Below are 26,356 nucleotides of genomic sequence, written 5' to 3' on the forward strand. Positions count from 1 at the left end.
ACAGAAATCAATAAAATATGAGGTTTAAAAGAGAAAAGAGCTTTATGAGATAATTGAATAAGTTGCGTAAGTTTTTCACTGGTGAAAAAAGTAAACCAGTAAAGAAAACTACAGTCAAATCAGGGACAGGTGAGACAATGACAGAAATTTGTCTCTAAGTTAAAAAATCTAAATAGAAAACTGCATTTATATTGTTTCATAGGCTTTTCTATTTTCTCTTTCATTTTAAATAAACTAAAATGGAAAATTTTGATAATATATAAACAATGTGATTGACATAAACTATATGATCTAGAACTCCATCTTCAGACCAACACTCATAAGACTGAACCCCATAATAAACAAACACATTTGAATATGAACAAATGTACATGTTTTAAAATAAAATACTTTTTTTATGATTCTCACATTGACCATTTTTGATTAACTGTGTGTTTTTCTGTTTTTTTTTTTTTTTTTTTTTTTTTTTTTTTTTTTTTTGAGACGGAGTCTCGCTCTGTCACTCAGGCTGGAGTGCAGTGGCACGATCTTGGCTCACTGCAAGCTCCGCCTCCCAGGTTCACCCCATTCTCCTGCCTCAGCCTCCCGAGTAGCTGGGACTACAGGCGCCCGCCACCATGCCTGGCTAATTTTTTGTATTTTTTAGTAGAGACGGAGTTTCACCGTGTTAGCCAGGATAGTCTCGATCTCCTGACGTCGTGATCCTCCTGCCTTGGCCTCCCAAAGTGCTAGGATTGCAGGCATGAGCCACCGTGCCTGGCTGATTAACTGTGTTAAACAAGAGGGCTTCTAACTATAGTTGGAAGTAAAGCAGGCTAATGCAGTTTAAACATAACACTGTGGATTAAACATTAAGGTGCAAAGTTAGATTTGGAATATATGCATGCCTGGAAGGACAGGAGAGTAATTTTGTTTGGGCGCAGTCAGCATCTGAATTTCTAGCCACCCTTAATTGCTTGGTCAGCATACCCATCAACCCCCTGGTTACCCATGAAATGAAATTAGGCTGCCTGTCACTGCTGGACAGTGGTGGCCAGGTTGCCTCTCCACCAACATGATGGCCCTAAGTCAGAGGCTAGGTGGCCTTGGTCATGCTTGTGGTGGCTTTGGTCTCTTTGCTTCCTGTTGAATCTATCTTGAATGGATTCGTGTTTCATAAGCAAAGTCCTGCATGAGATCCTAATTTATCTTGTGACTCCAATTTATGCTCATGAATCCAGTTGACCAGCGACAGCATTCATAATATCTAATTCTGATCCTCCAAAGGAAAGCTGAATACCAGAAAGGGACTCTCTTCTGCTTGCTTGCTAGGTTGGACTCCCACAATAATACCTTCTCTGACCTTGTTTGGATAGACCCTCTGGTTGTGGGACTTGGTTTGCTCGTTTCTTTTCATTCATTTTCAAAGCATGAATCCTTTAGTCTACTCCACAGTGATCTGCAAATTGAGGACGACTTCTCCCTCATAATCCTAGTCCACACTTTCAAAATTGTCCACTAGTTTGAATAAACAGATTCAACGTTTTTTTTAAAACCTGATCAAAATGTCTTGTCTATCTCCTCTTCCAAAAGAGAATGGTTATAGATTTCTAACCTTGAATGTAAGCAATCATACATACCACTTTCTGGATGCAATCACTTCTTGCACTGTAGACTATCCTTTCCCACCATAAGTGGATTCCAGGCAGCAGCATAGTGTAATGGTGAGGAGGAGGAAGAGAAGGAAGAGGAGGAGAGGAGGATAAGGAAGAGGAGGAGGAGGATAAGGATGAAGAAGAGGAGGAAGAGGAGGAGGAGGAGGAGCAGCAGCAGCTTGGGAGTCAGCTGTTTGGCTTTGGGCAAGTTGCCTTCCTGTGCCTCAGTGTTCTCATTTGTAATGGGGTTTACAAATATGTTTACTATAAAGATTAATTTTCAAGCACACTGTTAGTGCTCCATAAACAGTTGTTCTTCAGAAGATCCAACAGTCCAATTTCTGAGCTTTCCATGTATATTTGTTGAACCTTCTAGATTACCTTTTACTCTACTTTTTAAGCTAATTATAAATGATAGAGAAGATATATTTTCATTTTATGCATTTAGAATTTAACATGGCACACTTAACATTTTCTTATTAGTATCTTACCAGAATAATTTATTTTCTCCTCAAACATATAGTTTAATAAAGTCCACTTTATTTTAAAGTAAAATTTACATATCTATTGAGTAGCCAATCTTTCTATCTGAATGAATGCACATCTGATTTTATAATGAAATTTAAGGCAATGTACTCCATTAATGTATACTTACTACATACCCACAAAATTAAAAATAAAAATTTAAATAAAGAAACTCTTTTGTAAAGGCAAACATGGGCTGTGCTCAGTTGCTTAGTCAATATTTATATTTCCAAAAAAACTTTCTTGGAATGTATTTAATTAATCAAAGACATATATGGTAGCTGCAATTTGACTTAATGAGGTCTTAAGGTTTTTGTGGACAATAAATTGGAAACAATTTAAGTACCTATCAATAAGGAAATGATTACATTTTAGCACATCCACACAATGAAATTCTAGTAATTTAACATTTTGATGAATTATTAATGACATGGAGAATACTCATAATGTTAAAAGCAGAATATACATCATAATACAATACCCTCTTTTATTGTCTTTACACCAATGCTGTACCTTCTCATGACATCTGATCTCTCTCACCTGTGCATTTCTCCAGAGTACCCTTATTTCTAACTGCTTAATAGACTTAAAAGACTTTACCAGCCAGAAGTCTCCAACATTTATCAAACTTAACAGGTTAAAGATGAAACTGATATCACATCCACTCAACCTCCCAAACCAGAAGTCCTGAAGTCAAGCTCTCACTTACTCCCATTCGATGAGAAACTAAGCACTGTGGTTTCTACTGCTGGAACACTTAAATATATCTTCCAAAGCTATTTTATATATATATGCTATTTATATATATATATATACACACAAGCTATGTGTGTGTGTGTATATATATACGAGCTATATATATATATAAGCTATATATATACACACAAGCCATATATATATATGTTATACACACACACACACACACACACACACACAAGCTTGCACACTGTCAGCCAGGCTGGAGTGCAGTGGCACGATCATAGCTTACCGCATCCTCAAACTCCTGGGCTCAAGCGATCCTCTGGTCTCTGCCTTTCAAGTAGCTGGGGCTACATTTGTACACCACCATGCCTGGCTTGTTTATTTATTCCTATCATGGCAATGGCTAATTAAAAAAAAATTTCATTTGTAGAGACAAGGTATCCTTATGTTGCCCAGGCTGGTCTCGAATTCCTGGCCACAAGTGATCCTTTCACCTTGGTTTTCTGAAGTGCTGGGATTACAATGGAACATCTTTTAAATGTCTCCCCCTTGGGCACCTACTCACTTTTCAGACCCATAGGTATCATATGAGCTTTCTGGCCAAACATGTGTAATTAAAATGAATATTTTCTATAATTTTAGCAGATAGAAAAGGGAAGAGAATGAAAGAAGGAAAAAGTTAATATATGGCTCCTTATGTGGCTTTTTGAGATTGAACCGTTTGCAAAGTACTGAATAAGTCAATGGGCAAAATGGGGCTTAGAGTACTTAAGTCAAGTAGTTTAACTCAGATGAAAGATGCATGTAAATGTAGAGAAAGAGTACAGCTGTGTTAAACTGAGAGCAGTGTGTTAGGCCAAATTATCCAGTAATTCCTTCACTTCATGAAAGATAGGTTCAGGGTCTTATTGCTCTTTGGGACCAAAAGTGGGTTGCTTGCCTTCTAATGTCTTAATTCTTTATTTGGCTCCTTATAATGTTGGGGCAATGATTAAGTGCCTGGGCTTTGGAATTAAACAAGCCTGGATTGAAATTTGGACTCCATCAACTCACTAACTTTGAGGCTCTCATTCTCTCTGAGCTTTGGTTTTCTCATTTATAATATAGGAATAGTAAAACCTACTTTGTAGAGTTAGAGGAAAATAAACTGAATTTATGTGTGTTCAAATTGTGCTTAGCACATATGATCAATAAATGGTAGTGGCTAGAAAACATCTTCCACTGTGTATGTAATATGGTCAACATGTATACCTACTTCCCTTCTTTTCTGAAAGGGGAGAGAAATGCAGTAAGTAACTTCCAGAAGTAGTATGGGGGCTTTGTTTCGCTGGAAGTGTGCAAAAACTACTTGCCATTTTGGATTGCTCTTGCAGTTCCAGCTTTATAGGTTTAAGCCACTATGTCTTCTCTAGCAGTGGAATTTGAACACTGTCATTTCAATGTTTCCTTCTCTGAAGAGGAATTCCCTTTCTCTTGAGATTTATCTAAATGAAGGAACTCAAACTTACCAGCAATAAAATCTCTTTAATTGCAACTTAACTGTTTTTTCAGCTATGTATATTTTCATTTTTAATTTATTTTCATTTTATAAACATTGAGGTCATGAGAATATTGGAGTTATTAAATAAGAGATGGCAATTATTCATTTATTTATTTGCTAGAAAGTAGAAAGTTGCATGAAACTATAAAGCCTGGGAATTTCTAAAGATAACTCCATCTCCATATGTTTTTTGGAGGAAATGATTTTTGTCTTTTCCAAACAATGACGCTTAACACAATTGAAAGTTGGCACATTTTTGGTAAACAGAATTTTCCTGGTAGTGTGAAGTCTACTGTGTATTTCTTTTGTGCCAGACTTCTCAGTATCATTTTGATCTGTAAAACATCAGCGTTTCCTGTATTGTATTATATTTACGTCTTTGGAGAGTCTAGACAGAAATTTTTATTTTAAAGAGTAATGAATAATAAAAAATAACAAAATTTTTATTGTAATATTTGGGATTATGACTGGCTGTAGGGAAAAAAAGCACAAAGCAGATTACACATAAAAGACATATAACATAAATGTTTGACTTTGATATCCCCAGAAGGTATATCTCAGACATTAAAAAAGACAGGAGGCTAAAAATTGTAACACGCAAACAAAAATCATTTCTCCAATTTCTGAATTATGTGGTCAAAGAAAAAAATTAAAACTTCAACCACCCATTGGTGTAGGAATTGTTAAAAAAAATTCTAGCTTTCCACAGATCCATTTGGCTCTCCTGTAAAGACTGAAATCTGAGAATGGTAACAACAGGTTATCTCTGAGGACAATTACTGCACTTGAGAAAGAAAGAACAAGATACGCTTTATTCCCTTGCAGATACTGAATGGAGAGCTCTGAGCATCATAGGTAAACCAACTCTGTGTCACTCTGAAATACATATTTGAGGCTGCTGCATGCAGTTCCCCGGCTAGCTGCAGTCATTGGTGCCAGTGCTCAGGCACCTGCTGTCCTTGACCTCTGGCCCCACAAGCACTAACCCAGCGCAGGAGGACCAGCCACCGCCGCCAGGCTCTGATGCTGGTCTCTGGTAGAAGAAGGTTGCTCACAGCTCTGCTGCAGGCTCAGAAGTGGCCCTTTCAACCCTCCAGAGACATGAGACTAGTCCAGTTCCAGGCACCCCACCTGGTGGGGCCTCACTTGGGCCCAGAGATGGAGAATGGTGGAAGGGTTATCAACCTCAATGCCTTTGACTCTATGCTCCCCAAAATGATGACACAGTTCCTAGAGCAGGGAGAGGCCATCCTCTCAGTGGCAAGAAGAGCCTTGGGTGCCCAGTTGCCAGTCCTACCATGGTTGGAAGTGACCTCCCTGGCTCCAGCCACATGGCCAGATAAGGTGGTGTGTGTGGGCATGAATTATGTGGACCACTGCAAAGAACAGAATGTGCCCGTGCCCACGGAACCGATCAACTTCAGCAAGTTTGCCAACTCCATTGTGGAGCCCTATGATGAGATGGTCCTCCCATCAGAGAGCCAGGAGGTAGACTGGGAAGTGGAGCAGCTGTGGTCATTGGAAAGAAAGGCAAGCACATCAAGGCCACAGATGCCATGGCCCATGTGGCTGGCTTCACTGCGGCTCATAACGTGAGTGCTCATGACTGGCAAATGAGACATGATGGGAAACAGTGGCTGCTGGGAAAAACCTTCAACACCTTCTACCCTCTGGGCCTTGCCTTGGTGACCAAGGACAGTGTAGCAGATGCACACATCTTAAAGACCTGCTGCCAAGTGAATGGGGAAGTGGTCCAGAGCAACAACACCAACCAGATGGTGGTCAAGACAGAGGAGCGGATAGCGTGGGTCTCCCAGTTTGTCACCTTTTACCCAGGGGATGTCATCCTGACTGGGACCTCCCCAGGTGTTGGTGTATTCAGGAAACCTTCTGTCTTTCTCAAGAAGGGAGATGAAGTCCAGTGTGAAATTGAAGAACTAGGTGTCATCATCAGCAAGGTGGTGTGATGGCTCCTGCACAGGCCCTGGTCATAGGATGGGGGCATCTGCTCCCACTCAGCTTAGCCCAGGGAAATGTCGAATGCCAGGTGTGGGCAGGTGCCAGCCCTGTAAGCCTCCTCTTCTAGGTAGAAGGGAGAAGGATAGAGCTCTCTTCAATAAATACGTCGGGCCAAAGCAAAAAAAAAAAAAAAAAAGAAAGAAAGAAAGAAATATATATTTGACTTATACAGCAGTTCTGGTACAATGACATCCTTGGTCTTGGAGAAGGAGGATGAGAGCAACCGTCTGCTGGGGCTTTGGCATATTAATAATTGCTCACATCATCCCTATTGGATTTCTTTAAAATATGTCACATATTACACACCCTCTAGGAAATGTCTTCTGCCTAACCAGCAATCTTAGTTTCTGTCCTGCTAAAACCCTGATTCAAGAATGAGGTAAAGCACTAAAGGCACATTCCTGACTTTTTCTATAAGAGTGAACACAGATAAACATACATTACAAGATTCAAAGATTGAAATGCTCAAAAGAACAAACACCGTAATGTATCTTACACAGTTATTACAATGTATTCTGTAATCCTTGTGAGATATTGTTTCACATATCATTTGCCAAGTGTTAATCCTTAGTACATATGCAACACTAAATTGCATGTAATAAGTAAGTAATTTTTCTGGGGAAAATATTATTTGTTTTAAAACATTTACATACTTATATTTACAAATAGTTTCATAAATTATGGTGCTATGTTGATTTTATAAGATTTTATTTGTAATAGAAGAAGAAATAGAAATAATAAGAAATATTTAAGGGCATGAATGCACTTTGAAATAATATTTATTTTATGACAATTTACTCAGAAAATTCAAACCAAAGTGGGCAGGGGTAAGGCATTTTGCTCAGATCTACGAAATGGTGCTAAATATTGCATGAAGTTGTTCATAGTGTCCTCTTTTATTTAAATCTCTGCTTTAATTATAGTCATTTTTAATGGTTTTTTTTGCATTTCCTTTAATTCTGCTAGTTTTGCCTATTTTATTAGACTTCAAAAAATTGACTTTTGTTTACATCAATCCTTTTTAAAAATTTTTTTTAAGGCAGGGTCTCATTTTGTTGGCCAGGCTGAAGTGCAGAGTAGCCCAATCATAACTCACCACAACCTCAATCTTCTGGGCTCCAGGGATCCTTTTGCCTCAGCCTTCTGAGTAGCTAAGACAACAGGTGCGCACCACCACCCCTGGCTAATTTTTAAATTTTTTGTTGAGATATAAGTCTCATTACATTGTCTAGGCTGGTCTCAAACTCCTGGCCTCAAGCAATCTTCCTGACTCAGCCTCCCAAAGTGCTGGGATTACAGAAATGAGCCACCATGCCTGGCCTCATCAATCCTTTTATCTTTGTTTTATGTTTAACATTTATTCTTCATTATTCCTTCCTTTTTTCTCTCCTGTTCATTTTATAGTTCTTTTACTAACTTAAGTCTGTTGCTTAGATCACAAATTCTTTTATAATATCATATTCATGCCTATAAACTTCCTTCTATGAGCATTTTTAGCAGCATCTCACAAGATTTGATGTGTAGTATTTGCATCATCCCTGAATTGCAGGTAATTTACAGTTATATTATAAATTCATTTTCATCCATGAATTGTGTGTGTGTTAAAACTTTTTTTAAGCATCAAAGTGTATTTTTTAATCTTATCTTTCTGCTTTTTATTTCTAACTTAATGCACTGTAATCGAAGCATATATGTACAGTTATTCCTGGAAATTTGCCAAGACTTGCTATATAGTCGTAGTTGGTCACTTTTCACAAAATCTCATGCTTTGAAAATTTATATTATGAGATTATTGATTGGAAGGTTCTATATATCTTTCTTAAACTAAGCTTGCTAATTTGAATAAAGGTTATGTATAAACTTTTTCTATATTTTTATTTTTTGTCTGCTTAATAAATACTAATATCTGATTTTTATTGGGTTTTCTCCCAGTGTGATGGTGATTTATCAATTCCTTCTTTAATTCTGCCCATTAATGCTTCAGATATTTGGGGGGAGGTTATGTATATTATGCATTTATATATTTAGAATCTTACTTGTGAATTTCACATTTTAGTGTTATAGATTGACATTCCTTATCTCTAGTAAGCTCTCTGATAATGATTGTTTTGATTTGAAATTCATTTTCATCTGACATTCTTTATCTCTGGTAACCTCTCTAGTAATTATTCTTTTGAGAATATTCTTTTGAGAATTATTCTTTTGAGAGTCAGTTTTATCTAACTTGACTTTTGATTAGTATTAGTTTGGTGTATTTTTTTCCATCCTTTCCATTTTAACATTTCTGTGTCCTCTTGTAGGCAGCATTTAACTGAATTTATTTATTTTATCAGTTTGGTAATCTCTGATATTTAATTTGCAAGTTATTTGTTTATATTTAGTATGATTTGGATTTTTTTCTATCTCCCAATTAGGTAAAAGTTTATCCTGATTTTTCTATATTACCTTTTGTTTTCCCTTTTATTTTGGTTTATTTTCGAAATTCTGTCTTTTCTCTCTTCTACCAGATTGGAAATTATACATTCTAATTCCATCCTTTTAGTGGCTAATCTTAAAATTTGAACATGCATATTTACCTAAAAGTCTAACCTTGGCTTATATTTCTCTTTTCGTGAATAACACAGAAATATTTTAACTTTCCTCATCTTCTCAAATTTTAAATACTATCATTATCCAGTATTTTAGTTTCACCTTCATATTTTACTTTCTTTGCTCACTATTATTTCTTGTATTTGAGTACTTTTTTTCTGGATTGAATTCTTCTTCATTCTGTTTTATCCTCCCTTGTAGTTGTTTTGGTAAGATTTTTTTTGGTGGTGAATTCTTACCATTTTTGTTAGTTTGAAAATGTCTTTCACACCTGGCCCTGTAGGATAGATTTGTTGGGTATAAAGTTCTGGGTAGTCAAGTATTTTCTTTCAGTTCTTTGTAGGTAATATTCTACTGATTTTTGGCTTCTAGTTTTGCTATAGAAAAGCCTTTTTTTTTTTGGTTAGTTACTCTGGTGGGAGTAATTACTTTCTTTGGTGCTTTTTCAGTTCCAGAGATGTGTCTAGCTGTGATTTACATTTACCTATTCAGCCTAGGATTTATTGTGCTTTTTAGATTTTTGAACTCAAGTCTTCCATCAGTTTTGGAAAATCCCTATCTATTATTTCTTCAAATATTACTTCTTTTCTCATATCCTCTTCTTTCTCCTTCTAAAACACCTGTTATGGTATATTGGATATCAAATACTATCCTCTATGTCTCTTAGACACTCTTTTTTATTTTTTTGTCATTTTGATCTTCTAGGTATTTTCCTTAGCTTTATATTTGAATCCATTAGTTATTCATTTAGCTGTGTCTTGTTTGATGCTAAACCTATCTAATAAGATTTTTTTAAACTTTAATGTCTTTATAATGTTTATTTCTAGTATTTGTTGTTTTAAATCTTCATAGCCTTTTTGGATAGTAACTTGTTCCTGTGTCAAATTTTTTATGCTTTTTGTGCTTAATTATTTAAAAGAGTAGCCTACATTTATTATTTCAGTTATTTTAATTTATGTGAATCTATTTAATTGTTGCTGCTTCTGATTTTTTCTCATGGTTTTTATTGGTTGCTTGTATGCCTCATAATTTTGATTGTAGGCTTATGTTTGCTGAGAGTTTTTTAATTTTATTTTAATTGACACAGAATTGTACATATTCATATTAATGTGATACTTCAGTGCATGTATATATGGGTTAATGATCAAATAAAGGCAATCAGTATATCCATCACTGCAAACATTTATTATTTGTTGTTTGTAGTGAGAATATTCAAAATCCTTTCTTATTTCTGGGCTCTATGTTCCATATTCCATTCCATTGGTCTATGTATTTGTTTTTTTTGCCAATATCATGTTGCTTTCGATACTGTAACTTTGGGGTATATTTTGAAGTCAGGTAGTATGATGCCTCCAGCTTTTTTTTTTTTTTGTCTCAAGAATGATTTGGCTAGTCAAGATCTTTTGTCGCTTCATACAAATTTTAGGATTAAAAATTTTTTTCCATGAAGAATGTTATTGGTATTTTGATAGGGAATGCATTGAATCTATTGATTGTTTAGCGTAGTATGGACATTTTAACAATATTAATTATTCCACTCCATGAACACAGGATATATTTCTGTTTATTTGTGTTCTCTACAATTTCCTTCATCAATGATTTATAGTTTTCAGTATAAAAGATATTTCACCTCTTTGGTTAGATTTATTTTTAGGTATCTCTATTTATTGGTAGCAATTGTAAATGGAATTGTTTTCTTGATTTTGTTTTTAGCTAGCTCACCATTAGCATATACAAATGCTACTGATTTTTGAATGTTAAATCTGTATCCTTGAACTTTACTAAATTTGTCTATTAGTTCTAACAAGTTTTGGTGCAGTCTTTAGGGTTTTCCATATATATGATCATATGATCTGCAAGCAGGGATAGTTTGACGCCTTCCTTTCCGATTTTGCCTTTTATTTCTTTCTCTTGCCTGATTACTCTGGCTAGGACCCCCAGTACTATGTTGAATAGAAGTGGTGAAAGTGGATATCCTTATCCCAGATCTTAGGAGAAAAGCTTTCAACTTTTCCACATTCAATATGATGTTTGTTGTGGGCTTGTCATATATGGACTTTTTAGTGTTGAGGTACATACTTTCTGTATCTAATTTGTTGACAGTTCTTATCATGAAGGGATGAATTTTGTCAAATTATTTTTCTTCGTCTATTGAAATGATGATATGGATTTTATCCTTCATTCTGTTAACGTGATGTATCATATTTATTAGTTTGTGTAAACTGAACCATTCTTGCATCCCTGGGATGAATTCCCTTGATCATAGCGGATGATGTTTTTAATGTGCTATTGATTTTTACTAATGGTTTACTAATATTTTATGAGCATTTTTGCATGTATATCAGAGTGACCTGTAGTTTCTTTTTTGGTTGAGTCCTTGTCTGGTTTGGGTGCTAGGGTAATGCTGGCCTTGTAGAATGAGTTTGGATATGTTCTCTCCTCTTTAATTTTCTTGAATAGTTTGAGGAGAATTGGTATTCTTTAAATGTTTGGTAGAATTCATTGGTGAAGCCATCAGGTCCTGGGTTTTGTCTTCAATGGGATACTTTTTTTTTTGAGATGGAGTTGCACTCTGTCACCCAGGCTGGAGTACAGTGGCATGATCTTGGCTCACTGCAACCTCCCAGTCCCGGGTTCAAGTGATTCTCCTGCCTCAGCTTCCCAGGTAGCTGGGATTATAGGCACGCACCACCAAGCCCAGCTAATTTTTGTATTTTTAGTAGAGACAGGGTTTCACCATGTTGGCTGGGCTGGTGTGGAACTCCCAACCTCAGGTGATCTGGCTGCCTCGGCCTGCCAAAGTGCTGGGGTTACAGGCGTGAGCCACAGCACCCGGCCAGGATAGGTTCTGTTACTGATTTAATTTCCTCACTCATTAGCGTTTTCAGATTTTCTATTTCTTCATTGTTCAATCTTGGAAGGTTGCATGTGTCCAGGAATTTATTCATTTTTTTTTAGATTATCCAATTTGTTCGTGTAGTATTGTTCACCATAGTCTTTTATAATTCTTTGCATTTCTGTGGCATCTAAAGTTTTGTCAGTTTTATGTTTTCAAACATGATCTTTTCTTTTTATTGATGTTTTGTATTTTTCTGTCTGTATTTCATTTATTTCTGCTTTGATCTTTCTTATTTACTTCCTTCTACTAATTTTGGGTTTAATTTGTTCTTGTCCTTTTTTATTTTTTGAGATGGAGTCTCTCTCTCTGTCTCCCAACTGCCCAAGATGGAGTGCAGTGGCATGATCTCAGCTCACTGCAACCTCTGTCTCCTTAGTTCAATTGATTCTTTTGCCTCAGCCTCCCGAGTACCTGAGATTACAGGTGTGTACCACCAGGCCCAGTTAATTTTTGTATTTTTAGTAGAGACAGGGTTTCACCATGTTGGCCAGGCTGGTCTCGAACTCCTGACCTCAAGTGATCTGCCTGCCTCGGCCTCCCAAAGTGCTGGGATTACAAGCGTAAGCCACGCTGCCCAGCCTGTTCTTGTTTTTCTAGTTCCTTGAGGTGTGTCATTAAGTTATCATCTTTCACTTACATTTCAACAAATGTAAGCATTTATTGATATAAACTTCTCTTTTAGAACAGCTTTTTCTGTATTCCAAAGACTTTGATATGCTGTCTTTCTATTTGTCTCAAGGAATTTTTAAGTGTCCCTTTTAATGTCTTCATTGATCCATTGGTTGTTTAGGAGCATATTGTTTAATTTTCATTAAACAATATTTGTAAAGTTTCTGAATTTCTTCCTGTTGTTGATTTCTAGTTTTATAACATTGTGGTCAGAAAACATATTTAAAATGATTTTGATCTTTTAAAATTTGTTAAGGCTTGTCTTGTGCTGTTAAGAAAAACGTGTATTCTGCAGTTGTTGGGTGAAATATTCTGTAAATATCTGTTAGGTCCAATTGGTCTATTGTGTGGTTTAAATCCAATGTTTGTTTATTTTCTGTCTGGATGATCTGTCCATTGCTGAGAGTGGGGTGTTGAAGTTGAAGTTCATGATTATTACTATATAGCAGTCTATTTCTTTCTTTAATCTAATAAATAATTGCTCTTTATATTTGGGTACTCTAGTGTTAGGTGCATACATATTTACAATTTTTTTTTGTTGAATTAACCCATGTATCATTATATAATGATCTTCTTTGTGCTTTTTTGTGATTTTTGATTTGAAGTCTATTTTATCTGGTATAAGTGAAGCTACTCCTGGTCTCTTTTAGTTTCCATTTGCAAGTGATATCAATTTTTCATCCCTTCACTTTCAGTCTATATGTCTTTACATGTGAAGTGAGTTTCTTATAGACGTCATATAGGTGAGTCTTGCGTTTTTTTCTTTCCCCCATTTGGCCACTCTATATCTTTTAATTGGAAAATTTAATCTATTTCCATTCAAGATTATTACTGACAGGTAAGAACTTACTCCTGCCATTTTGTTAACTGTTTTCTAGATACTTTGTTTCTTTCTTCTACTTTTATTGTTTCCCTTTGTGACTTGGTGGTTTTCCATAGTGATAAGCTTTGATTCATTTCTCTTTTTGATTTGTGTATCTGCTGTAATTTTTTTCTTTGTGGTTATTCTGGGGCTTATGTAAAAAGAACTTAGAATATTTTAAGCTGATAACAACTTAACTTTGGTCACATACAAATATTCTAGACTTTCCCTTCCCCCATCCACAATTCATAATTTCCTTCAGGTCATTATTTTAAATTCCTTTTCAGGCAATTTATAAATTTCCATTTCTTTAGGGGTCAGTTACTGGAGGATTCTTCTGCTTCTTTGATGGTGTCATGTTTCTTTGCTTTTTCATGTATCTTGTATCCCTGTATTGATATTTGTGCATCTGATGGAATGGTCAACTCTTTTAATTTTATGGAGTGACTTTTGAAGGGAATGACTTTCACCAGCAGATGTGTCTGAGGGTATTGGTTGGGTAGGGTACATTGGCTTTTGCTCTATGTGTGTGCAGTAGTGTAGTCTCTGCAGGTTTTTAAGCTGTAGTCAACTTTATTGATAACCTCTGAAGGCCTTGGTGTGGCTAGTTTGCTGGCTCAGGACAGGTCACCCCTGGAAACAGCACACTTGGCTGGTGAGCACAAGAACAAATCCACTGGTTAAGGTGGGGACCCGCTGTGAGATGCATACATGGCTGGTGAGCATGCAGCAGCCAGTCTGCCAGCTTGGGTTAGGGATTCTCTGGGGGCAGTGTACTTGGCTGGCAAGCATGGGGCTTGGCTTGCCAACTCAGAGCAGAAGTCCCCTGAAAATGACATGCCCAGCTGGTGAGCTTACTGGTGGTATATGCGGACAGGTCTGCCAGCTCAGGTTGGGGCATCCTTAGAAGTAGTGCACCCAACTGTTGAGTGCACCAGGGACATGCAGGGGCTGGTCCACTGGTTTGGGTGGGACTCGCTTTGGAATGGTGCATTCGCTGGTGAGCATGCTGACTGCTCATGAGGCCAGTTTGGACTTGGTTTCTCTGCTGATCAAGATTGTCTGTTCCTTTGAGGGCAAGGTGCTATATGGGCTTCATGGATGGGGCACTGGATCTAGGCTCTGAGAGACAGGGTTCAGGGTGCTGCAGTCACTAGGATGTGAAAGGTGGAACACCTCCTAGGAGCTTGTTCCCAGGGGGTAGGGAGCTGTAGCAACTCAGCAAGGGAATGGTGTACTACTGTGTGTGAAGGTAGTGTAATGGCAGTGTAGCCTTAGGAATGAAAAGAGATGGTGGCTACTGGCCCCTGGAACAGGATGTACTCTAGTTGTGGCTCTGGTTTCAAAATGGCATCATATAGCTGCAGCTTGAATCACAGGGATGAGGGGATACAATGTGGGCTCCTTCTCTGGGGCATTGCAGCCATGTGGCTGTCAGGCAGCTCCCTAAACTGGACTCAGGGTCTGTAGAAACTGCAGGATTCTCAGCAACAAAGAGTGCAGATGTCTGTGACATTAATGGGGGCTGCTGGGGCCTCTTGCTTGCCTAGTCCCCACTGGGGATGCATCTCCTTGTTCTGAGCTAATACTGGCTGGGGAGATGGCGGTGTGGCAGAGGCAGAGTGCTTCATTCTCTTCTCTATGTGACCCTCACTAAAGGTCTCCTTGTCTCACAGGATTTCTGTCTCTCTCCTACTGTATTCCAGTGTGCTCCCTCAAACACTCCAGTTCAAACATACTTTCTTATTTGTTGTTTTGGCTCTTTTTTTTGGTGGGAAGTATGAGCATTCGGCTTCTCTAGTCGGCTCTCTTGCTTTGCCCTGGCTGGGCTTTTCTATGGAAATCTGTGAGGTATATGCTGAGAGTATGTGCATCAGAAAGTTTTTGCCTTCGTTTCTGTAAAGTATCATAGGGCGTTACCAACCTAGTATTACTTTTTATGTTAATGACTTCACTTGGTGTTTCTTGATTTTTGAATTCTGTGATTTCTCAGCTTTAAATACTCAAGAGAGCCTTTTCGTTTATACCATAAGAAGGCCAGACTTAGGCGAATTTCTTAGCATCATCCTATATTAGTAGGCAGATTTATTTTTGTTGTTCACTTTTTTTTTTTTTTTTTTTTTTTTTTTGAGACGGAGTCTCGCTCTGTCGCCCAGGCTGGAGTGCAGTGGCGCGATCTCGGCTCACTGCAAGCTCCGCCTCCCGGGTTCACGCCATTCTCCTGCCTCAGCCTCCCGAGTAGCTGGGACTACAGGCGCCCGCCACCACGCCCGGCTAATTTTTTGTATTTTTAGTAGAGACGGGGTTTCACCGTGTTAGCCAGGATGGTCTCGATCTCCTGACCTCGTGATCCGCCCGCCTCGGCCTCCCAAAGTGCTGGGATTACAGGCGTGAGCCACCGCGCCCGGCCGTTGTTCACTTTTTTACTGGAGGTGTTACCTTTGAAGGTGCTCACTTTATGTAAGGTCTCAGTTCCAACACCTGGCTCCTGCAAGATCAGGCTTTGTCTCCAGTTCTTGTATTACCATTACAATATGTTTAATTTTCTGGTTTTATGCCTTTTAGTCTCTTTTTATTAAGCACTGGGATTTCCTTTACTTTTTTTCAAAGCTCTTCTTTGCATGCTGTTTCATATTCTGCACAGTGTAACTGGTTTTGTAGTGAGAGGTTTTTCAGGTTATCTAGTCTGCTGTATTACATAAGTTCTATGTAGGAATGCACAAATGTACACATACAGAGAATACACCTCTTAAACTTGAAAAATCTTTTCTATCATAAAAATGTCATGCATATTAAACAACTGTGAAGGAATTGTCAGTGGCTTAATATGTTGATAGATTGACACTGTGTGGGAAACAGCTGAGAATATTAGGGGTTATTTTTATAATGCCACCTCAGGCTTTAATATCAGATTCATAGAAGTGTGTTTAGTTAGTAAGCCATGTAGTGAATTGAGTATATAACCTTATCTACTGGCCAAAAATATGCTATTTTTCCAGAATATAGTGTGTTTAGTTAGTAAGCCATGTAGTGAATTGAGTATATAACCTTATCTACTGGCCAAAAATATGCTATTTTTCCAGAATATAGTTCAGGAAAAAAAGTTTTATCTATTGTAGCAAAAATATAAGAAAATCACAAACTTTAAAACACATATAAATTGCTGTTTTGTGAGCCTAGATGATGTCCATTAGCAGCAGGATTATGCTGTACTCAAGGATTATAATCACCAAAGGCTTATAAAGGAATGCTTAGTTTTCTTAAATTCTTACTGTCATGGTGAAGCTCTGGTACAATATTTTTGACAAGAAAACAAACACTGAAATGCTGATTAAAATTAGACTGTAAATAATCCCAGTAAGTTGTCCTAAAATGAAAGCGGTACCTCGGATATCAGCCCTCAGGAATATTACAATTGTATTTTTATAATGCAAAATACAGAATAAGTATTCTGCAAGCTAAATCCTTAGAAAAGACTACTAGTATGGAAATGAAATCAAATTCTGTCTTTCTTGGATTTCTTATTATGAAGATATTGAGAAAGTTGATTGGTTTCTGTAACTGTCCTCAAATCTCGTTTTCTTAATGAGGCTCACCTTGCCCACCCTCTTTGCATTATTAAATGTAATCTGCAATTCCCCATCACCCCCTCCTTACTGCCTGGTATACCCATTCCACTTAGCCTGCTCTACTTTCTTTCCTATAGCATTTAATCTCTTCTCATATATTACACTATTTATAAGTTTATTATGTGTAGTGTTGTTTGTCTGTCTTCTCCCACTAGAAAGTTAAAATCTACCAAGGGCAGGGATCTTGGTGTGTTTTGTTTACTATTGTATCCCCAATGACTACAGTAGTACCTGTCACATAGTAGGTGTTCAAAAATGACTTGGGTGTGAATGAATAAGGTTTTATTTATCTGCTTATAAATTAGGGTGATAATTCATGGCCCCTTATTTCTTTTGTGGGTACAAATTAGATATGTATATGCCAAGTATATTGACTTGTCTGAAAGAAAGTTGACATTCATAGGATAATAGCACTTATTATATTTGGGATGTATTAAGTGACTTAGCCTTTAAATGTCTCAGAGTTTCCATCTTAAATCTAAGTCCATGGCAATTTTACTAACACAGTATCTCTTCTATAGCAACAGAACACATATAACATTCAGAACTTGATTAAAGATCATACCTCATTTTTTTCTTTGAGTTTTGTGATCATAACAATCACAGGGCTGTCTTCCTGCCAAACCATCTGCCAGAAATCATCCACGGTGTTGATCATGGGGCCCTGCGTGGCAATGAAGGCTTTCTCCTTGCCACTGTAGCCCTAGATGGAGTAAAGAAACAAAAATATTGGTTTTTAAGTTCATGCCTTGCAGTGAAAGTGTAGGTGAAAGATCTTCAACGAAATAGCTGGGCTAGTACAAAAGCAACACAGGTTACGGCTTCACTGACTCTAGTACAACAATTTCCATGGGTATTTTGGCAGCAAGTTAAGGATAGCACATGGTACTGAGGGTTGTAATGCCCAGTCCCCAGCAGAGTACCCATATAGAGCACTGTTGCCAGAGACTCACAGTGAAAGGAAAGTCATCATAAAAGACCCATTAACAATGTTGATTATGACTAAGATAAAAAACCAAACAAAATGAAATCTTGCTGGTAATCAAGTTAAACCAAGCTTAATCTACTCTAGGAAAAAGAAAATAAAACCAACAATTCCAAATAGGAAGTCACCAGAAAGAAATTTGTACTTATTTACTTACCCTAATATAATTAGCATTAATGTAGGTGCTCAATGAATCGGTTACATTTTTTGGTCTTAAACACACTCTGCTGAGGGGATCTAATGAAGAAAACAAAAAAGAATATATTAAACAGATTTACCCTTTTTAAAGTTCCTTAGAATGCCAATAACCAGTAAGTAGAAACCTGTTATGTATTGATTATCTGGTGCATGTCAATGTTTGTCTTTGGTGTCCATTGCTTGATCCATATGTTTATTGAGGGACATTTGGGCCTGTCTTCACTCCTGACATAAAGCTCATCCATAAGCCTAAGCTGATGAGTTTATATTTCAGGCCATTTCTCATCTGTTCCGGTTCTCGACCTCATTTCTCATTTTTGCGCCCACTCTTATACTTTTGATCTGGAATTTGTACCAGGTCTCCTCACTCCCATCTCTCTCCTTTCCCTATGGAGGTAAATCAGGCTATACTCTACCAATTATTTATATTTTACTATCTCATCTCATTTAGACCCTCAGGTCTGAACCTCACCTTGTCTGACCATTATGTCCTGGCCAGATCTCCTGATCTTCCGAGATGGATGAGATTAATAATCTATTACGTGCTATCTGTGTGAGGATAGGCAAGCCAGGGGAAGAGGGAGGTTGCAAAGATAAAGATAAACATGATTCATTTCGAGGCTGGGCACAGTGGCTTACACTGTAATCTCAGCACTTTGGGAGGCTGAGGCAGGAGGATCCCTTGAGCCTGGGGCTTCAAGCCTAGGCAACATAGTGAGACTTCATCTCAAAAAAAAAAAAAAAAAAAAAAAAAAATTAGCCAGGCATGGTGGCTTATGTCTGTGGTTCCAGCTACTTGGGAGGCTGAGGCATGAGAATTGCTTGAACCCGAAAGGCCAAGGTTGCAGTGAGCTGAGATTGTGCCACTGCACTCCAGCCTGGACAACAGAGGGAGAGCCTGTCTCAAAAACAAAAACGAAACAAAACAAAACAAAACAAAAAACTATGATTCATTTCAGTGAGTTTTCAGTCTGCTCATAAAATAACAAACAACATACATTTATTGTTTATTAGATGTCAGAGTCTGTTCTCATTGCTTTACAGATATTATATCATTTAATTTTCTTGTAACTTTAATAAAAGTACCTAAGATAATGGGTAAGACTCCTTCCCCATTTTTCAGATAGGAAACTAAGATAGGTTAAATAATTTGCCCAAAGGTACACAGCCAAGAAGTAGGTAATGGAGTCAGGCTTTGAATCCACACGAACACTAGGGTACCATTAGCCACTACGCTGTGCTGCAGCTCTCATGCGAAGATAGCTATGTAAGCTGACGATTAAAATACAAAATGTTATATCCTAGTGGTTGCTTAGTTACTTTCTTAAAAAACAGCAAATTCAATGCTTTTCAGCTTCCTTTCTCAGTGGAGTGTGGTGTAAAAACAGGGGTGCAGCAAAGAAAAACTTCTCCCATTCCCATATTTTTTTAGTAACACACTATCATTGAACATCTTCTGGGTAAACACAATCTCTTACGTTCCCCACGAAAACTGAGACAAAGAGGAGGTGAGGTAGGAAGTACTAGACGAAGAAAGTTTCATAGAATATATTTAAATGGGAGCTAAAAATAATTAAAAATTTAACAGGACTTGGCAAGCCAACATTTGTTTTAAATTTCACTTTATATATAACTGGGGTTAAAGATAATAAAGGCCATAATTAGTTTCAGAAAAAGGCTAACCAGCCCATGAGGACGGTGATGGTTTAAAAATGTAGTCATCCAATTATCTGACACTCCTTCTAAAAGAATGTAGTAGAGACTAATTCCTCTCATCTTGAATGTGGGCAGAAATTAAATAGAATATGGCAGTAGGGATGGTGTGTGACTTGGTCATAAAAGGTATTACAGTTTCCTCCTTGCGCTCTTTCTTGAGTTGCTTGCTCTGGAGGAAGCTAATGGCCATATTTTGAGGGCACTCAAGCAGCCCAATGAAGAGAGAAATAGTGGGGAACTGAGGCCTCCAGCTGATAGCATATGAATGAGCCCTCTTAGAAGCAGATCCCTCAGTGCCAGCCAAGTGTTCAGCTGACCAAAGGCTTGGCCAACAACTCAATTGAAATCTCATGAAAGACCTTGAGCCAGACACTCAACTAAGCCACTCCCCAATTCCCGGCACACAGAAATTGTGAGATATAAATGTGTATTGTTTTAAGCCACTAAATTTTGGGGTAATTTGTTCCATAGCAATAAATAGGTAATATAGGGACCAATAAGGAGTCAGTCACAAAACTCTGGAGTGATATCATGATCACTGTTATTGTCATTGCACTCATTGTTGACTCCTATATGTGTCAGGTAGAGCAGGTAACAGCATTTTATTCATTAGGTCACTTAATTATTACAATTCTATAACGTACATACTGTTAACAGTCTCTTTATTTAGATTAGGAAATTGCAGCACAGAGAGGTTAAGTAACTCACCCAAGGTCACACAGTAAGAAATGAAGCAGAGAGTTGAAACCAGATTACCAAACTTAGAATTTAACAAGGCCATTATCAAAGATGATGTTGAAAATATATAGTAAAATTTTGCTAATTTGTCACTAGGATATTTGAAATAAAGATATTTTATATATATGTTATATATATAAATAAAACAAGTAATAGGAGCTTCTATCCAAGGATGGATAAAGTAGATTTGAGCTATAAGGGATCTGGCTTTGGCAGGAGAAAGTCCCATTCTGCTTAAAGCTTTAGATTGACTTGTGAAGACCAAGATGCTTATCTGATCTTATAGGCCACAGGTAAAATAGCTCCTGATCATGCCATATGGAAGCAATGTCTAGAAGATGTTAATAAATTCTGGAAATCAGTGGGAAGACCCTTAGGTGGCATCCAAGAATCCTGTTGATCGAGGCAGGCTTTCATTCAGTTTGAACCAAAACACTTTGCAAAAGATCCTAGCATGTCCTTTTGGGTGACCTAAAGGAAGTAGGGTGACTACAGAGAAACTTACAGTGGAACAGGTAAGGACTGTTCGAATCAGGATATAACCTAACTGTGAACAAGGAATTGTGGTCCTATGCTCATCAGCATGGAAATCTCTTGAGACATGGGCTTTGAACTTATCAAAATTCCTCCTCAAGAGATATGTTGGGGCTACTGGTACTGAAGCAAACTACCCTCTTTAAAGCATTCTGGAAATAAGTCCAATCTCAGTCTTGTCCTTCAGAGCTTTCAAAATGTAGACCCTATGGAGATGGAAGCTAGCACCAAACTTTCAAAAGCACTTCATTTTCCCCCAAATCTCATACAGTCTTAACAGATCTATCTCTACATTTCCTACAATTGTTGGTCAGGGGCAGACTGACCCTCACTTGCATGAGCCATTTTCAATAAGAACCTTGTATCTTATTTTGTATTCATAATGTTGTATTCATTTTTTAAGAGTGTCTTCCAGGGCAAAGTTCCATGACATTGATGTGGGCAAAAATTTCTTGGATATGACCCTGAAAGCACAATGAAAGCAAAAATAGACACAGGGGATTGCATCAAACTAAAAAGCTTCTGCACAGCAAATCCACAGATTGGGAGAAAATATTTATAAATCATACCTTAAGAAGGGGCTAATATCCAAAATATATCAGAAACTCAAACTACTCAATAACAAGAAAATAATCGTATTAGAAAAGGGATAAAGATTTGAATAGACATTTCTAAAAACAAGACATGCAAATGTCCAACAGATCTACGAAAAAATGTTCCACATCTCAAATCATCAGAGAAATGCAAATTAAAACCACAGTATCACTTCATACCTGTTAGAAGGGCTATTATCAAAAAGATAAAAGATAAATGTTGGCAAGGTTGTGAAGAAAAGGGAGCTCTGGTAGGCTGTTGGTGAGAATGTAAATTAGCATAGCCATTTTGGAAAACAGTATGGAGATTCCTCAAAAACTATGAATGAACTACCATATGATCCAGCAATTCCACTTCTGAGTATATATCCAAAGGAACTGAAGTCAGTATGTTGAAGGCATTTCTGCACTCCTATGTTCTTGCAGCACTATTTACAATAGCCAAGGTTTGAAAACAACTGGAGTGTCCATCAACAGATGAATGGATTTTAAAAGTATGGTCTATATACATAATGGAGTTCTATCTGGCCTTTAAAAAGCAGGAAATTCTGTCATTTGTGACAACATAGATAGACTTCACAGATATTATGCTAAATGAAATAAGCCAGGCACAGAGAGACATGATCTTCTTTATGTGTGGAATCTAAAAAAGTTGAACTCATAGAAATAGAGAGTAGAATGGTGGTTACCAAAGGCTAGGTGGGTGGGTGAATGGGGAAAGGGGAGATGGTGGTCAAAGGATACAAAATTTCAGTTAGGAGAAATAGGTTCTGGCGATCTATTATAGACCATGGTGACTATTGTTTAATAATAATATTATATATTTCAAAATAGCTGAAATAATGGGATTTTAAATGTTCTCACCACAAAAAATAAATAAATATTTGAGGTAATGGATACATTAATATTAGCATGATATGATCATTCCACAATGTATACATGTATCAAAACATCACATTTTACCCCATAAATATATACAACTGTTATTTTCAATTAAAAATAAAATAAAACCTAAAGAGTAATCTCCAAATAATATAAGCTTTAGCTCCCCTCCCTTCCAAAAAACTAAATCTACCCTTGTTGGTAAAACCTCTCAGTCTGCATAAAATCTATTACACCCTTTGTAATGTAGAAAGACTTCTGCTAGACTGCTTTTTGTTACCTTATCTTTTTCCTCCAAGGGGTCTTGAACACCTGTGGAGCTGAATTTTAACATTGAGAGTGAAATTATTCCATTGTTTATACGTATCTTCCGTCAATCCTATTGATCAAAACTCTTGGCAGATCACAAAATAACAAACAAGGAGGAGAAGCCACAGTGGAGCAAACAACATTTATTGCACACTCTCCACCAAGAATCTCATGGAGGAGGTTCCCTGCTGGGAGCCTTTGGCTATACAGCGCCCTAAAAGCTTCTTGCCAAGCATGCTCCGTGCTGTCTGGCATTTTTGCTGTCAATAGCTGGAGCACACAATAGTACGCATATCCAAATATGTACTTTAAGAGCTAGTCGTCTCCTAGTAGTCACCATCCCTGTCTTTCTTTAGCAATAAGATCCCAATTCTGGCTGAGAACTTGGTAGGATGCACAGCTTAAGACTTCCCTTCTTACCACCCCTTGCATTAGTTGCGGCCATGTGACTAAGTTTTCACTTATAGCAGGTGAGAGGAAGTGATGCGCGTGACTTTTAGATCATGAAATTAAAGTGAGGAGTGATGTTCTTCTTCTACCACTTCTGATTCCATCTTGCTGCCTGGGATGTGGTCATGGTGATCAGGATCTTAGACCATGCAAAGGTAATACCCTAGGGATGGCGAGGTAACCAGAGAGATTAGTCTGGAGGTATAACATGGCAAAGCTGCCATATCAACCCTGGCAGGTATACTTGAGAGGGAAAAACACTTTTAAATTATTTAAACCACTGTTATTTGGGTTGTGGTTAATAGTATATATAAGTTTTCTGGCAAAAATATTTCAGAAAAGAATAGTATTATCACAAAATCAGTTCTGCCTAGGGAGGCATTAATAGAATAGGTACATCCCAAACATCTGGGGTTTGTATATATTCAGAAGTCAAATTCAGGGTTTCTTAGAGTTGGAGTTCGCATGTCCAATAATTATCACGATCTATAAAAAATAACGTTTTAGCAACATAACAAAAGGTAATCATCATTTTAGTCTAAAACTAAGCCCTCAGGCCCCATAACATTGCCATTAGAATGCACGCAGTGATTAGTTCAGTCTGGATAGCCCTAAATTGCTTATTGCACTGATTTCCTTTCTTCTGACCTACAACAAACACATGGCCTGGACAGAAGTCTTTTTCACTATTTGGAAGAAGCTGTCTTTAGTTAGCATATGTAGCGGTTTGTTCACTGACAGCACAAGTATCTGATATTGGTTAGATTCGTTTAGTGCTAGCAACATTGTCTTAAATTCTAAAATCACTTTCCATCAAGAGTTGAAAGACTCTTTGTGGACTAAAGTGTTACGGAAAATGTGGAAATTATTTTTACCATCATTTGCATACATTAATATTACTAATTCGTCTCTTTATGATTTCTTTGACCTGGTACACTCTGAGCTTTTTGAAGGCAGGGATGGGGATTTTTCACCATCTTTATAAGATCTAATGTCTTGCATAGCAGACCTTCAGTGAATGTCTACTGCACTGATTTAAAGATCTCTTCTATTTTTTAAAAAAAGGTCAGTTCTATATATCCTTCTCTAGCAATTATTCTATTGCTTTTCTTTTTTAGACAGGCAAACTTCTGAAAGAGTTTATTATACACACACTTCCTCCATGCTCATCTGCAACTCAATCCTCCTCATGTACACTGTGATCTATCCTAACCCTAGCACTGTGCAGAGACTGCCCTTGCTAAGGTCACCACTGACCCTCTTGTTGTTAAGCCCAGTGATCCCATTGTGGTATTTTTGTTCATGTCCTCTCTGAAGCATTCAAAAACTGTTGACTGTATATCCTTTTTTCGAGTTTTCTCTTCCCTTAGATTCTGGGACACAACGTTCTGGTTTTCCTGCTCCCTTTTCGGTGGCCTCTTTCCAATCTCCTGCTCATTTAATCTGCCCCTTTTCATGTTGCTAATTCTAGGATTCAACTTGACCCTCTTTTATCCTCACTTGATACTGCCTTGTTGAGTGACTCATTCATTCCTGTGACTTTATTACGCACATCCTGAGGGCTCTCAAATACATACTTCAGACCAGCCCGGTCTCCTCATTTATAGTCCAGCTTTTTCTATTTATTATTTCCTTCTGAATGGACCACAGGTTTGTGAAACTCCTCATGCCCTTCATGTGTTCCTGACAGCTTTCTGCTATTGTTTAGGTTAGGTGTGCTGCCACAGCTCTACAGTCCGTGTAGAGTTTCTGTGCATTTGAATGTTAGCATATTCTGCCTGTTCTGTCTCCTAAAATACGCTGGGGTCTGTCTTGCCTCTCTGTTTGCATGGCTGTCTTCTTGGACTAGGACTCAAGTATCTCCTGGTCTCCCTGCCTTCAATCTTGCTTTTTTCCAATCCATCCTCCTCATAGCTGTCAAGGTGCTCTGTAAAACAAAATCTGATCACATGATTCCATTGTCTAAATGTCATCCATACTTCCCAATTGCCCATAGCAGTATTTCCCAAAATATTTATTACCTGTAAATCATTACCTCTATAACATATAGAATTATACTATATGACTTATAAATTAAGTCATCTTTTACAAAAAGAGGTTAGTACCCAAATAAATATGGGAAACATTGGGTTAAACAAATCTGAACCATATTCTTTTTACTGCAGGACTTCTCAGGGTCTTCAGTATGTTAATGGACCCTGTGAATTTCCAAGAAGGTATTGTATATAATCCTATTTGTCCGTTGGACTCAATTTTATTATACCTACTGTATTTACATACTTAACTATTATATTTATATACTTATTGATAATTCAGTTTAGAGCAGCCCTGATCAATAGAATTTTCTGAGGTGATGAAAATATTATCTATCTGTGCTGTCCAAAAAATGTAGCCTCTAGCTTTCAAGCACTTGAAATGTGGCTAGTAAAAACTGAGAAACTAAAGTTTTAATTTTATTTAATTTTAATTCATTTAAGTGTAAACTGACCTAGCCATAAGTGGGTTCTGGTTGCTCTACTTGACAGTGCAGGCCTAGAAGATGAATGCCAAGAGGGGTACTTAGCAAGATAGAGCAGATCCTTAATGATCATCCCAAGGCCTCACCAACAGCTGCTTTCCCACGTGTATCATATAATCTAGCCCCATGGACCTAGGGCAATCTCCCAAATGTTCTATGTTTTTGCAGATTTTATGCTTTTGCACATATTGTTTCCTTTGCCTTCTCTGCATGGTAAAGTCTTCCTCATTACTCAGGGCTCAATTCAGAAAATACTGTCTTTCTGAAGTTCTCCCTGACCTTCCCAGGCAGAATTAGGCATTCTCTTCTTTGCTTGGGTCCCCTGAGTTTTATTTTAGTATTTATCATCTTGTATTTTAAGTGCT

General features: G+C 37.5%; 1 protein-coding gene and 1 pseudogene across 9 annotated transcripts in view; one reads left to right on the top strand and one right to left on the bottom strand.

Moving 5' to 3' along the window:
- PTPRR (protein tyrosine phosphatase receptor type R) overlaps positions 1-26,356 on the bottom strand; it is a 282,666-nt gene that overhangs the window by 28,421 nt on the left and 227,889 nt on the right. For 7 of the 9 annotated variants that reach the window (XM_011538615.3, NM_001207016.1, NM_002849.4 and 4 more), the window contains 2 exons: positions 18,211-18,290; positions 17,634-17,771 (listed from right to left, as the gene is read on the bottom strand). In XM_011538615.3, coding sequence (XP_011536917.1) covers positions 17,634-17,771; positions 18,211-18,290 — 218 coding nt within the window. Of the gene's footprint in view, positions 1-4,823; positions 6,484-17,633; positions 17,772-18,210; positions 18,291-26,356 lie in introns of those variants that run through there. The other 2 variants (NR_073474.2, XM_047429234.1) reach the window with 2 other exon arrangements.
- FAHD2P1 (fumarylacetoacetate hydrolase domain containing 2 pseudogene 1) lies at positions 5,296-6,539 on the top strand (annotated as a pseudogene).

Source organism: Homo sapiens, chromosome 12 (genome assembly GCF_000001405.40).
Source record: "Homo sapiens chromosome 12, GRCh38.p14 Primary Assembly".
In the NCBI taxonomy this organism is placed as follows: domain Eukaryota; kingdom Metazoa; phylum Chordata; class Mammalia; order Primates; family Hominidae; genus Homo; species Homo sapiens.